The sequence below is a fragment of the Homo sapiens genome, chromosome 1 (assembly GCF_000001405.40).
Source record: "Homo sapiens chromosome 1, GRCh38.p14 Primary Assembly".
NCBI lineage: Eukaryota > Metazoa > Chordata > Mammalia > Primates > Hominidae > Homo > Homo sapiens.
The window spans coordinates 107,751,229-107,765,887 of record NC_000001.11 but is presented as its reverse complement, the minus strand read 5'-3'; the positions used below and the strand labels follow the sequence as shown (position 1 = coordinate 107,765,887).

General features: G+C 36.2%; 1 protein-coding gene across 13 annotated transcripts in view; it reads left to right on the top strand.

Annotated features, from left to right (window-relative positions):
- VAV3 (vav guanine nucleotide exchange factor 3) overlaps nt 1–14,659 on the top strand; it is a 394,020-nt gene that overhangs the window by 199,293 nt on the left and 180,068 nt on the right. For 12 of the 13 annotated variants that reach the window (XR_007063680.1, XM_017000053.2, NM_006113.5 and 9 more), the window contains 4 exons: nt 713–812; nt 5,009–5,104; nt 8,559–8,627; nt 10,375–10,461. Coding sequence is in view for 11 of the 13 variants with exons in the window: in XM_017000053.2 (XP_016855542.1) it covers nt 713–812; nt 5,009–5,104; nt 8,559–8,627; nt 10,375–10,461 (352 nt within the window). In the remaining 2 variants the exon portion in view is untranslated. Of the gene's footprint in view, nt 1–712; nt 813–5,008; nt 5,105–8,558; nt 8,628–10,374; nt 10,462–11,022; nt 11,148–14,659 lie in introns of those variants that run through there. The other variant, XM_017000056.2, reaches the window with a different exon arrangement.

The window sequence follows — 14,659 nt, the reverse complement described above, 5'->3', positions numbered from 1 at the left end:
ATTTCCTAGTACTAAGAAGTGGCTAATGAATTACTTTGCATCAAGTCTTCGATAAATATTCACATTTTATTAGTAGTGTCTTTTTTCCAGTGGAGAGTTAAGAGAAGCAATAAACCAACTGACCTCTTTGCAAAATATTTGTGCTACAGAGATACCTTCCCTGAAGTGGGTCAGATTCCATGTGATATGAGTTATCTTCTGTCCAGAACAGTTCAGGTCTCTCGTTTTCCTCTCTTCAGATGATTTATGTTCCTTAATTAAAAAGTAGCAAGGAGTAAGAGGTTTAATAATGAAGGAGTTATATGTAGTGATTGGCATAAAATTGTAATAGAGAAAACTTTCTGAGTGTTTAGAGACAAAGTTTATCTCTTGTAAGAGCTTTAACAGAAATTTTTAATTTTGTTTTTGGAATGCATTTATGTCTACTCAAATAACATTAACAGTCATCAAGCCAGTTTGTAAATTCTGCCTGCTATAAAAATTTACATAGAATTAATCTCATTCAAAGTTGGAACTACAAATTAGTCATTACTATAAAAATGAGTGACCCTTATTCTATGACTGTGTATGTGGTATGTATTAAAAATAATTTCTACTGCTATTTTGGTTATCCCTAACAATGGTTTTAAAGAGATGAAGATTCTGCTTGTTTCCCCCTCCAGTTCATTCTTGGTTTTTGTCTTAGAGATTTCTTGTCTTTTTTCCCTTTCAGATTGGTTATTTACGGGCAGTACTGCAGTGGAGTGGAGTCAGCCATCTCTAGTTTAGACTACATTTCTAAGACAAAAGAAGATGTCAAACTGAAATTAGAGGTGCCTATTTATTTTTAGTTTATGACATAAAGCAAAATAAACCTAAAAGCAATGTGTTCCTCTTTATGATCAGTGAAGCAGTACATTTCCCATTATTTTAAATATAATTTCATGTCAATTTTATAAAATATTTAAACAGCTCTATAAAATAGTAATATGGTAGTAATAGTAACAGTCGTTAAAAATCTAACATTTATGGCCCTGTGTTTTACATGCATTATCTCATTAGGTCCTTCTGACTCTGTGAAATAGGTACAATTAATTTTCTCATCTTATGAGAAAGCTGAAGTTCAGAGAGATTATGAATAACTTGCGTAGATAGTAAGAAGTGCAGGACGAGTGAGATACGTTAGATAATGTATATGTAGATTTAAAATGTTTACTAGTTAGCTGGGCAGGGTGGCTCATGCCTGTAGTTCTAGCTACCTGAGAAGTTGAGGCCAAGGAGTATGCACTTGAGCCCGAGAGTTTGAAGCTGCAGTGAGCTATGGTTGCACCATTGCACTCCAGCCAGGGTGGCAAAGCAAGACCCTGTATCAAAAACAAAATAAAAAAGATGTTTACTAAAAATATGACATTTAGAATCAGATGTATTAAAAGGCCATGCATATTGCCCACAGGAAGGAAGAGAAGACGAACACAAATATGGTAGGATTAAATAACATGTGATAAGCACTGTATAATAGGGCTCTGTAAGACTGAATCTACCCACTTCAGTGTGGGTAGATTGTAGAGGATTCATCTGAAGAGGCGCATTTGAGTTAGGTCACCAAAGAATGGGATGAGCTTTGACAGATGAGATTCTATGGAGAGCATTCCTGAACAATTGGTATGTATTGACCAGAACAGTTGGGAAAGTTTGAGAGGTGGCACGTAGGCCGATATAAACAGAGTGCATGATCACAACAGTATATAAGTCTAGAAACCTAGGTTAAGTCGTGTTTTTTTGTACATCATGTTTTTTTTTTTGTTTTGTTTTTTGTTTTTTGTTTTTTTTTTTCCTGAAGAGGAGTTCGAGGACTTCATGCTTTCAAAGAACTTTTGAACAATGTTTGTTGTATCAGTCACTGTATTATCCATGTATTTTGAATTTTATTAAATTTCAGGTAGAGATATATAGCCAGCTCTTAAATTTAACAGCGTGTGGCTTATTTGCCTGTTTAATATCCCTTTTCCTTTTCTTTGTTCAGTGTAGCACTGAGGTCAGGGGAGAAGGGGCAGGTGATTTTCAAATCAGAAGCCCTTCACTGTTTTGCCTCTCTGGCATGATTTCATAGCTCACAACTCCCACAAAGGGAAACTATTGCTTAGACAGTTTGCACGTTAACAGGCCACCAAGTAACTGTACTAGATACGTGATCTTTTTGCTTTATATCTTAATATTCCTTCATTATGTTGACTTTAAGACTGGAGGTAGTTTGAGTCACCCCTAAATAACATCCTTGTAACATTGTTAGTGCAAAGACTTCCTGCTCCTCTTTGCAGAATAGAGCCTCCTAAGTGTAGAGCTGGGAGCCACTGTGACTCAAAATATGATGATAAAATTAAATTTTACAACTTATACACCTACTTCCTAGTAGGGCAACATTAAAGCAGTTTTTCTTAAAATAAAGATATAAAATTGTGCTCCCAGATAGTAGTCAGCAAGTTGTCAATCACACCTCCATTATATTCTCAGTCTTGTTTGAGTGTTGTTCTTCCTTCTTTCAGAGTTATTGTCAAAGTTTTGCCCAATGACCATACTCTGGGACTCTAAGTATGTAGTTTTTGCAGTCAATGCTCGACTTAGGGAAAGAGAGGACATCAGGCTGAGTTTGAAAGGCACAGGGTGAGGTGCCCCTGCTGTCCTTTCTTCAGCTTAAAAGCCCACACTTCTAACCATAGTCCTGATTTGGAAGTATTAAGTCGGATACTTAGTGTAACACTTCAACAAATACTCAGTGGGAGCTGCGTGCCGCAAGCCCCAGCATGATAGAAGGAAAACTACCTTATTCTTGGTGTCTTTCTGCCTTCTTTGTGTCTTCTGTTTTGTGGTTATTTTTGTTCTTGTTGAGTTTTTTGTCTTTTTCTTCTCTACTTTGGAACCAAGATAACATGGGGTGAAGGGCGATGAATCTCTTTATCTTGCCCTATCAGCCTGGCTCATCCTACCTCATTTTATTTTCCATTACAATTGAATTGAGGCTAAGCAAGTGACTGGATGTTTTGGAAGGATTCTTTCTACCCATTATTTACTTTCAACACGAATAAGCATTTTACATTTGAGTCTCTATCTCCCAGGTGTAGCTAATTCCAGCAATGTTGGTTTCTTTACTTCCTGAGCCTGTAACTTAGAATGTAAAGGAACTGACTTTTTTTCTTCAACATTTTGAAACTAATTTCCATAATATAGTGAATTTTAAATATATAATATTTCTGTTCCTACCACTGTGTTGGGATGGCATAACATAAGAAATATAAGCTACAACCTTAATTCCAAGGGCCTTAAAATGCAGCAGAGGAGATAAGACCTACTAATTATAGTAATATTAACAATGTAACTTTCTGTTTGAGACCCATGATCCAGAGCTCTCTACAATCTGTAGAAGTAAGAAACTGGTTGAAATAGTTATCCTTCTAATGAACTGCAGTAATTGATGACACAGCTAGCATGTCAGGATGTGTCCCCAATTCATTTTGACTGATAGCTGTAGACAGACATACTCATTAAGTCACGGATCATTAGAGTTAATGGTGTTTTTTTGGAGCTCCTCATAATATATCATTCCATGTGCCAGAAAAACTAAGTGTGGGCAAAGAAGAAACAAACTTGTGAGCAACAGTGTATTTTCTTAAGCACAACTCCGTCTATGAACTGGAAAGGTCCTTGTGCTGGGATGTGCAATTGTGTCAGGATTTTGGACTTATGAGGTTGCTCACTAATAATAATATTTGTATGGCCCTTTTTTTTTTTTTTTTTGAAGAACACCATAGTTACGTGAGAAACAGTAAAATCAGAAAAGTGACTTGTCCAAGGTCACACCGCCAACAGTTGCCAAATCTTGGCTTTAAGTTCATTCTTTGACACTTCAAAGTAATTTACTCAAAGTCATAATTATTATCAAAAGAACAAACCAGTCAATACTATTTTAAAATAAACCTTTAGGAAAGAAGAGGGTGAAATTAAATACAATCCAAGGCTTCTAAATCTTGGAGTTTAGTAGTAGGTTTATACTTGAGCAAAGTTTTAAAGTCAAATATTCCATTTCATTCAGTTCAGTAAATACTTATTAAGCAAATACTACATTCTTAGGGGCATACAGCACAAATCATATTGGAGTAGATATTACATATGATAATAATTAAAAGACCCACAAGACAGAGAGAGAGTACACCCAATTGTGATTGTAATTGTTACGAAAGGCCTAGGATTGTAGTTCTTAAACAGGAAGATGTATTTTGCTGGAGGCTGGACAAAGCACATCATAGTTGAGGGAACTGAATAAACCATAGTTGAGGGTGGGAAGACTATTGACACTTTTGATGAGTAGGGATGTGTTCTTGATGCCTGTTCTATAAGTCCACTGGGGGAAATTGGTGGGAAGTACAGCGATAAAGATAAACTGAAGAAGACCCTGGGGGGCCATGATTTTGCACTAGAGAAAATAATTTTCTTTTTCTTTTTTCTTTTTTTTTTTTTTTTTGAGACGGAGTCTCACTCTGTCACCCAGGCTGGAGTGCAGTGACACCATCTCAGCTCACTGCAAGCTCCGCCTCCCGGGTTCACTCCATTCTCCTGCCTCAGCCTTCTGAGTAGCTGGGACTACAGGCACCTGCCACCATGACCGGCTAATTTTGTTTTTGTATTTTCAGTAGAGATGGGGTTTCACCATGTTAGCCAGGATGGTCTTGATCTCCTGACCTTGTGATCTGCCCGCCTCGGCCTCCCAAAGTGCTGGGATTACAGGCGTGAGCCACCGCGCCCGGCCAAGAAAATAATTTTCATACACAAAATAGTTCTCTTTTATTCATGTTTAGAGTTAAAGTACTACAAGATTTGTTTTTTTAAATTGAAGATACTTTCTGTTATTTACAGAGAAGGATTGTTAAGGAAACAAACGCACTCATTTATTGTATAATAACTGTTCTGCCTAGGGCCTTTGCATCTTTTAATGTTTATGACTCCCTAACAAAGTGTTTTTAAAACATTTCATTAGGAATGTTCCAAAAGAGCAAATAATGGGAAATTTACTCTTCGAGACTTGCTTGTGGTTCCTATGCAACGTGTTTTAAAGTACCACCTTCTCCTCCAGGTATGTAACTTAAAACAGTTTATTTATTGTCCATTTATTCACTCAACAAAATATTAATGAAGCATCAACTACATTGCAGATATTCCATGTGTTGGGCCCAATCCCCTTAAAATTTTGAATTATTATTATAGTTAAGTGGGAAATAACAGAACAGCTGGACATTTTTTCTTCCTTTTAGCAGAGATGGTCAGTAGCTGCCATAAATCACATTTTGTGTCCTTAAAACAGGACTGCCTAGAAAATAATTAAAAACAAGTCAAAACAAATAAAAATATTTTTTCAACCAAGTCTTCTGTAGTTATCAGTATTTATTTATGAGCACCTCAATATTGCAGTGCACTTGAATTTTGGCAGATTAATCATATTAGACCTCTTCCCTTGTAACAGTAAGCCAAAGAGAATTGTGTGACATTCCATATTGCTTTCTACTATACTAAATTATAATAAGACTACATTTATTTTGAAGTGATTCTTGTTATAGCCCACAAAGCTATGGTTTCCACGGTTAGTCTTCTAAATGAGGGTGGAGAGTCTTATAAATTTAATTTGATAGCTATACCAGGAGACTCATTAGTTCTGCTCCAAAGAAATGTCTTAGTGTATTAGTCTGTCAACTCTGCTGATGCTTGTGAAATGTCATTTTAAAAAGATCTACTACCTGTATGTGAAATACAATTTTGCGTCGGCTGTGCTTTGTATATCTTGTATATTAAATTTCTTGAACTGTAGCTGCAAAATTATTAGTCATCTCTATTTTTGTTCTACTGAGAAATCAGAAAAATTCAAACCCTGATTATTCCTTAAAAATGCATTAAAACATTTATGAGACCTAAACTCAAAGCAACTTAGTCAAATTGGATTTTATGAAAAAATAATAAGGACGACTCAGGCAATCAGTTTCCAAGGCATCCTGGAACTAAATACATGTCCAAAATAAGGTAATAATTTATTTTGTAACTTTGGTGTAGTCAAGTATCGATTGAAGAATTTAGAAGGTACAGCTTTTTAAAAAAATACCTATTTTGGTCCTTACAGGGTTTTACACAGACTTATAAAAGTATAAAATACAACTATACTTTTTTGAAATTTAGTAAACTGTTCCCCCTAATTTCCCTTGGGTTGTTTTATATTTAAAATTTTAAGAGTATGTTTAGTTCCATGATGACTTTTTAAAATAGGGAAAGTTTTATTTGGATACTACACATAGGTAAAAATTCTAGAAATGTTTTTCCCTCTCAAAATTCTATGGAGTAAAATTTATTTGTTGTCTAGAAATTTGTTGAACAAATGTGGTTATCAGTTTAGACTTTTTTACTTACTACTATACTTTAGTGGCGAAATCACTTGAAATGCTTGATGATTTGAAACCACAGATTCACAAAGTGAGAATATTTTATAGTGGGTGATTGGGAACTTTAATAACATGACTTTTATTTAATGAAGTAAAAGTAACTTTTAAGGAATAAAAGAATAGAATTTTTATGGATTTATTATACTTAATAGATTCTGTCTTTAAGTTCTTGTTTATAGCAGAAACACTGGTAGTATTGGATTCATTAAAGATTTTTGTATGGCTTCTCTGTGCCAAACATAGTATTAGGCACTCGTGATATACGACAGACCCTACTCGGATAAAGCTCATAATTTAGAAAGGAAAAATGAAGTATAAGCTGCCAAGTATAACACAATATGATAGGTACATGTAAGGTACAGAACCAGCACAGTTAAAGGCCTAAATAATTATGTATAGGGAAGCTGGGGACCTGAGTAGAGGCCTCTGTCATAGAAGACTCCCCAGAGGAGTAACTCTTGAGTTGGGCTTTAAAGGAAGAGTAAGGGGTCAATAAGTAGATCAGAGGGGAAGAGCTTTGTAAGCAGAAAAAATAATATTTCTAATGGGATTAGATATTAGAACATAATTTAAGAATTGCAATTAATTTAGTATGAATAGAATATAAGTTGTCTGGGTGAAAGTGGAGGGAGAAATTGAGAGAAGTTTGCAGAATTCAGATCATGAGGAGTCTAGGAGGTATGGGTGACAACCTGAAGCTTTTGTGGGGCATCACAGAAGTCTGAGTAGGGTAGAGACAGGATCTGATTTATATTATAGAAACCTACCCCTGATGACAATAGAGTGACTGGACTGTAGTGAGGAGAGACTGCAAGTCAGAAGGCCGATCAGAAGCTCATTATGATTACCTGGTTTTGTTGTTTTTTGTTTTAAGAGAGGGTCTTTCTCTGTTGCCCAAGCTAGAGTGCAATGGTGTAGTCATGGCTCACTGCAGTTGGGCTCAAGCTGTCTTCCTGCCTTAGCCTCCCAAGTAGCTGAGACTACAGGCTCATGCCACCTTGCCCAGCTAATTTTTAATTTTTTTTTGTAGAGATGGGGTCTTGTCATGTTGCCCAGGCTGATCTCAAATTCCTGGACTCAAGTGATCCTCCCATCTCAGCCTGGAAATGTGCTGGGATTACAGGTGTGAGTCACCATGCTTGGCAAATAATTATCTGTTTGAAAAACGTGAGGATCTGAACCTAATTAGTGGCAATGAGGATGGTTCCAAGGGGGCAGGATCAAAGTTAACATCAATAGGACATAGTGAGGGAGAGAGAACAGGGAGAAGTCTGGGACACCTTTTAGGTTTTGGCTTAAGTGATGACACTGATGGAAGTGCCATCATTCAATAAAACAGAAATAGGATCCAAGAATAGGATTCTGGGTGAAGATTGATTAAGTTTGGGGAATGTTGGATTTGAGGGGACTTTGAAATAATGAGGTAGAACCATTTAGTTGGACGGATGAGTCCGGGACTCGTGTGAATTTTGGGTTGAGCACATACATTTCACAGTAATTGGCCCATGAGGTGATAGTTGACATTATGACAGTGGTTGTGATAGAATTTGTAGAGTATGTAAAATCAGGGGAAAAAAGAGGACTAGGGTGAAAACTTAAGGAACAATAACTTTCTAAGAAGCAGATAAAGAAGAAACTATGAAAGACTGAGGAGGAGGCAGAAATTTAGGATGGACAGATGAACAATTTTAACAGCAATAACAACAACAAATAGAACATCCTGATGTCCCTGAAATGAAAGGAGGGATGCAGTTAAAAGAATCAAAAGCTGAAGCCAAGAATAATAAATGAGTAAAAAGTGTGATTTTAATCATTATGGAATCTTTCATAACAATAGGGATCAATGTCAGTGTAATGGTGGTGGATAGAATTCAGATTCATCTTTGAAAAGAAAATATCTCATATTGTGTCTCATGATTTTTTGGTGTCTAGTTGGTCTTCTTACAGTTTGAAATTTTTGATGGAAATGGAGCCCAGACATATTAGATTTATCACATTATAGAGAGAAAACCAATAATAATGGTTTATTTGTAAAAATGTTTTCTTTAGTATGTCTTAGTTTTAATTTGATGAAAGTAGTACTAAACCATATCTTCCAAATAGGAACTGGTCAAACATACCACTGATCCGACTGAGAAGGCAAATCTGAAACTGGCTCTTGATGCCATGAAGGTAGGGCAGATTCATCAGTAATTTGTTTGTATTTTTTATTCTTGCCTAAAGACAATGGAATTCAAATTGCATACACACACACACACACACACACACACACACACACATATACACACATATATATACACAAACATATATATATACACATAAATAAAATATTATGACATGCCTATGTATAATACACATTTGTTTTTAGTGGAGAAAACTGGATTTTTTTTTTTTTACTGGAATAGTTATCCTTGCATGGATTTAATTGTTAGACAACGCATAAAACTAAGAAGTATATTAAAATCACTTAGATACAAGTATAAAAACTTTCATAACCATGGGGAATTATTTAATATCATATTTTTTTCCCATTCTTTTCATGGTGACTAATAGAAAACGTTGGCTTGTGTAAGTCGTAGGCCAGCTGGTGGCTTCAGAACCCCATGTAACTTATTTTCCTCATATGAGGATATCTGCTAGGTTTACCCTTGTGGATGCTATGGCTTCATACAAGTGAATTTCAGTTTGTTCAGTTTTCAGGAAAATACGAAAATTATGAATAGAAAAGACAGACATTTTGAACATACTGGGGAATATGTAAAACCTCAGTTTCCACATTATGTTAAATAAAAATGACTTTGAAACGAAATAATATTTGCCAATAACTTAAAGCGTAGGCAAATATTTGTTCTTTAAAACAAAATGGCAAGGTGACCCTGCTCAGAGCAGTGCATAATTACTTAACTGTGTCCTTGTACCAATTCGTGTTAGCTTCGCTGTTTGGCTGATTGTCTACCACTAACAGGAAACACCACATAATTATTTATTATTATTATTAAAAAGTCAAACCAAGTTCCAAATTTTAAAGAAGTCGTTTATGGATCTATCCTATGAAAAGTCAGACTTCCATTTAGAACAAAGTTAGGAACTGCTTTTTGCAGAGTTCTGTCCCTACTGTTGCAGATGAATTTAAGAGGGTAGAGAAAAAAGAAAAAGAGCTCAGAAAACAGGAAAATCTGGAGCACATGTAACAAAAATAGCTAGTTACAGTATGGAAAGATTAGCTAATGTTTCCTCAAATATGAGAAAAGACATTTTAAAATAGGTGAAGGCACATGGAAAGACACGGCCAGCATTTTATGTTCACTTTAATTCATGAATTAAATTTAGTTCCAGCATGTTGTGCTATTTAGTTCCTCACCTCTCCTTTACTTCTCCTGAATCCATAAACGGGTTAACTCTTTAAAATTGAACCGGTTTCCTTGACCGAATGCTCTCAGGAACCAAGAAGACTAGCCGATTGCAAAAATAAAACAGTCTTGCTAGATTCATTATCTAACTTTTGGTTACTTTTCTCATGCTAATCGTTCATGATTGCCCTTCTTCTAACCTGTGTAAAAATATCATGCTCTCAAGGTCAGTAATTAACGTGCTTGGAATTTCTATTCTTCCGACCTAGTTTTCTTTTTGTTGCTCTATTGTGGTATATTTTGTTTTGTCTTTTAAGGCAACAACATCCTGACTCTTCTCAGTGGTGTGACAAATGACAGCTCTTCAGTCTTCCCAGCTGTACTTCAGACATTTTAAAATTGCCTCTGTGATGCAGCTTTGATTGACTGGGCATTCATTTTACTGTCTTTGAAAAGTTACAGTGGTTACTTTTACCACTAATGGAATTAATGATGTGTTTTCTTTCAAAGCAGTTTGCATCTCTAATCTTAGTGTGCCTTCTTTTTCTACCCTTTTCTTTATTGTCTAGGACTTGGCACAATATGTGAATGAAGTGAAAAGAGATAATGAGACCCTTCGTGAAATTAAACAGTTTCAGCTATCTATAGAGAATTTGGTATGTAATTATCTTTCCATCCAGCTTCCCCTCACCCCCACATCAACGACATTCTAGGAGTTGTTGTTGAAGAAAACATAGTTTACCTTCAAGTTTCTACTGTTGGAGGTTGTTGCCAGTCCCTTTGTTTGGCAGTGTTCATGTGGGTGTCTGAGGGCACCTGCAACCTGCTTGTGTCTAGGGACTTTGTGATGGCTTGTCCCTCTTACCTTAGTCACACTCTGCCTCTTCTCCCAGCAGTCTGAATCTAAATATAGGAGTCCACTTTTTTTTTCTTTTCTTTCCCTCATCCCCCTACATACTCATGGCTGATTCCTATTCATTTATTCATTTTACATATATTTGCTGTGTGACTATTATGACCCAGACACTTTGCTTGGGGCTGGGACTGTAACTGTGAACAAGATGGTCTCAAGATTGAGGAGACAGTTTAAAAAAAAAAGAGTTAAAAATGCCATATTGAGATTAGTGCTGTGAACTGGCTGCTATAACTGAGGATTACAAGGGGAGTCCTAGTTTAGATAAGTTGGTTGGAAAAAGTCCTTTTAAGTCATTTGAACTGAGACCTAGCAGATAAGAAGCAGCCAGCCACACGAAGATCTAGGGGAAAGTGACCCAGGCAGAAGCCGTAGCAGGTGAAATGCTCAGAGTTGGGCAAGAACCAGGTGTATTCAAGAAGCTGAAAGGTAAGAGTGGCTGGAAATGGAGAGTGAAGGGAAGGATGGTGGGCTCTGAGCCATGAGGAATGGGCAGGGCAATTACATAACACAGCCTTGTAGGCCAATATGCTGAATTGGGATTTTATTGTGACTGCAGTGGGAAGCTATTAAAAGGTTTCTATCAGGGAGTATTACAACAGACTGATTGACATTTCAAGAAGACCCTGTGAGCAGGCAGCCCAGCCAGCAAGCTGTTGAAGTGGTTTCAAGAGAGGATGCAGCCCTGGATTAATCTGTGGGCAGTGCAAATAGAGATGAGTGAATTTAAGATACATTTTTGGTAGAGCAGTTTCATCGCTGCTTTCTCTGAAACATTGTGAACCTGTCTCTTTCTTTTCACACATGCAGCCACATACCCATTTCAGGACACCATCATCTGCCAGTTTTCCAGTCACAGTAGCCTCTCATCATCTCTTCATATAGTTGCATTTCCAAAATGTGGATTTCTCAATTTACTCTCTTTCTCAAATTTGTCAAGATTTTTTTGTTGTTGTCTTCAAGATTCAGTCAATATTCCTTGGCATGATATTTAAGGTCCTCAGTGATCTGGACTTAAGCTATTTTCCTGAACCCCTCCAGCTAATAACTGCCCGTAAACTTTACATTGTGGATATTTTGCTGTATTACAAGGTCTCCAATTTGACATACGTTTCTACAGTTCTGCCTTCAATTGTAATCTCAGAGCCTAGAATGTTTTTTTCCTATTCCCTATCAAATTTATTCAAGGTGCATCTAAAATAAATCCCTTTTCCTAATCTCCTATTATTTTTCCTCTTTAGAATTCCATAGCATATTTCTTGGACAGCTGTGTAGCCTTTAAAAAATTGTGGTAAAATATATATAGCATTGGCCGGGTGTGGTGGCTCACACATGTAATCCCAGCACTTTGGGAGGCCGAGGCGGGCAGATCACCTGAGGTCAGGAGTTTAAGACCAGACTGACCAACATGGTGAAACCCCGTGTCTACTAAAAATACAAAAACTAGCCAGGCATGGTGGCACGTGCCTGTAGTCCCAGCTACTGGGGAGGCTGAGGCAGGAGAATTGCTTGAACCCAGGAGGCGGAGGCTGCAGTGAACCGAGATCATGCCACTGCACTGCAGCCTAGGCAACAGAGCGAGACTCTGACTCTGTCTCAAAAAAAAAAGTGTGTGTGTGTATATATATATATATATATATACGTATATATATATATGTGTGTATATATATGTGTGTATATATATACACACACACATACATACACACACACATTAATGCTATAAATATATATAGCATTAATTTGCCATTCTAATTATTTTCAAATTAGAAGTGCATTCATGATGTTGTGTGACCGTCTCCAAAACTTCATCTTGCAAAACTGAAACTCTGTACTCATTAAACATGAACTTCCCATTCTTCTCTTTCCCTGGCCCCTGGAAACTACCAATCTACTTTCTATCTCTGTAAGCTTAACTACTCTGGGCACCTTATATAAGTGAAATCATACAATATTTGCCATTTCATGACTGGCTTTTTTTACTTAGCATAATGTCTTCAAAGTTCATCCTTGTAGTAGTCATGTGTCAACATTTTATTTTTTTGATTTCCATTTGTTTAAAGCTGAATAATACATCATTTTATATAAATACCTCACTGTTTTTCATTGATGAACATTTGGGTTGCTTCCTTCTTTCAGCTATTGTGAATAATACTGTTATATTATTATTGTCACAGGTGTACCAATATCTATTCAAGTGCCTGCTTTCACTTCTTTTAGTTATATACTTGGAAGTGGAATTCTGGGTTGTATGGTCATTATGTTAATTTATTGAAGAATTGCTATACCATTTTCCACAGCAGCTGCCCCACTTAACTTTCCTACTACCAATGCACAAGGGTTTCAGTTTTTCCACATCCTTACCAACACTCACTATTCGGTTTGTTTGGGTAACAGCCATCTTAATGGTTTTAAAGCAATATCTCATCGTGGGTTTGATTTGCATTTTCTTAATGACTAATGATGTTGAATATTGTCTTTGTGTGTTTGCTGGCCATTTGTATATTCTCTTTGGAAAAATGCCTATTCAAATGCTTTGCCCATTTTTGAATCAAGTTGTTTTTTGTCTTTGTGTTGTAGAAGCTCTTTATTTGTATCCCAGATATCAATCCCTTATAAGACATATGGTTTGCAAATACTTTTCTTGTGTCTGTTGGCTTTTCACTCTGTTGATATTGTCTGTGAGGCACAAAAGTTTTTAATTTTGACAAAGTCCCATTTATCAATCTCGAAGAAATAATTGCTGAATCTATTGTCATAAAGTTTTTCCCCATTTTCTTGTAAAAGTTTTATAGTTTTAACTGTTATGTTTGGGTATTTGAAACATTTTTAGTTATTCTTTATTTATGGTGTAAGGTAATGAAGGGTCTACCTTTATTCTTTTACATGTGGATATCCAGTTTTCCCAGCACCATTTGTTGAAAAGGCTATTCTTTCCCTATTTAATGGTGTTAACCTTGTTGGAAATCATTTGACCATATATGTGAGGACTTATTTCTGGGCTCTCTACTATTCTGTTGGTCTATATACCTGTTTGTATGCCAGTGCCGCATGATTTTGATTATTGTGGCTTTGCAATAAGTTTTGGAAACAAGTCAGTAAGTATGAGACTTCCAGCTTTGTTCCTTTTCAAGATTGTTTTGACTATTCAGAATCCCTTGAGATTCCATAAGAATTTTAGAATGGAATTTTCTATTTGTGCAGAAAACATCACTGGGATTTTGATAAGATACATTTATTTTTATATTTATAGTGTTAATCACACATCTCTGCCCTTTATTAAAATGGAATTTCTGAACGTTAGTGATTTTCAGTCAATTCTTTTTTCCTCTAGCGTGTACAGTAAGTGTTCATAAACACTTAAAAATAATTTAGTTATCAGCCTCTGGGAAAATAGCTCATTATTTTAAATAATTAACTCAGAGCTTTTCGTCCTTGAGGTCCTAGCTCAAGAAAGCCAGCCTGGACTTTATAGACCAAATTAGCGCGCGCCCCCCCGCCCCTTTCTGTACTCCTTCATGGCAATTGTGCGTTTGTAATTGCATGCTTCTGTGAATATTTGTTCCTCCACTGCGCAGTGTGCTTCATGAGGGCAGTGTCTGTATCATTTTGCCGTACACCTGTTATGGTGGTTGGCACGTAGTAGATGCTCAAAAAATATTAATTGCCGAACCGTCTCGTAATTTGGACCCTTCCGGTTGAGTCTTTCTTTTCATAGCTAATTTCCCCTTTAAGAATATATACTAATTAAAATCAATTGATGTCCTTGACATACCCCCTGGGATTACAGAGGACAGACTTATTTGTCATGTAGACCTGAGCTTTTTAGAGTAAGTATGCTTTAAAAGTATAAAAAATGGTAACATTTTAATGTAATAAGGTAGTTGTCTTGAGTAAATATCTCTACTAATATTTGTTTTTATTTTCATGTGATTATGAAAAAC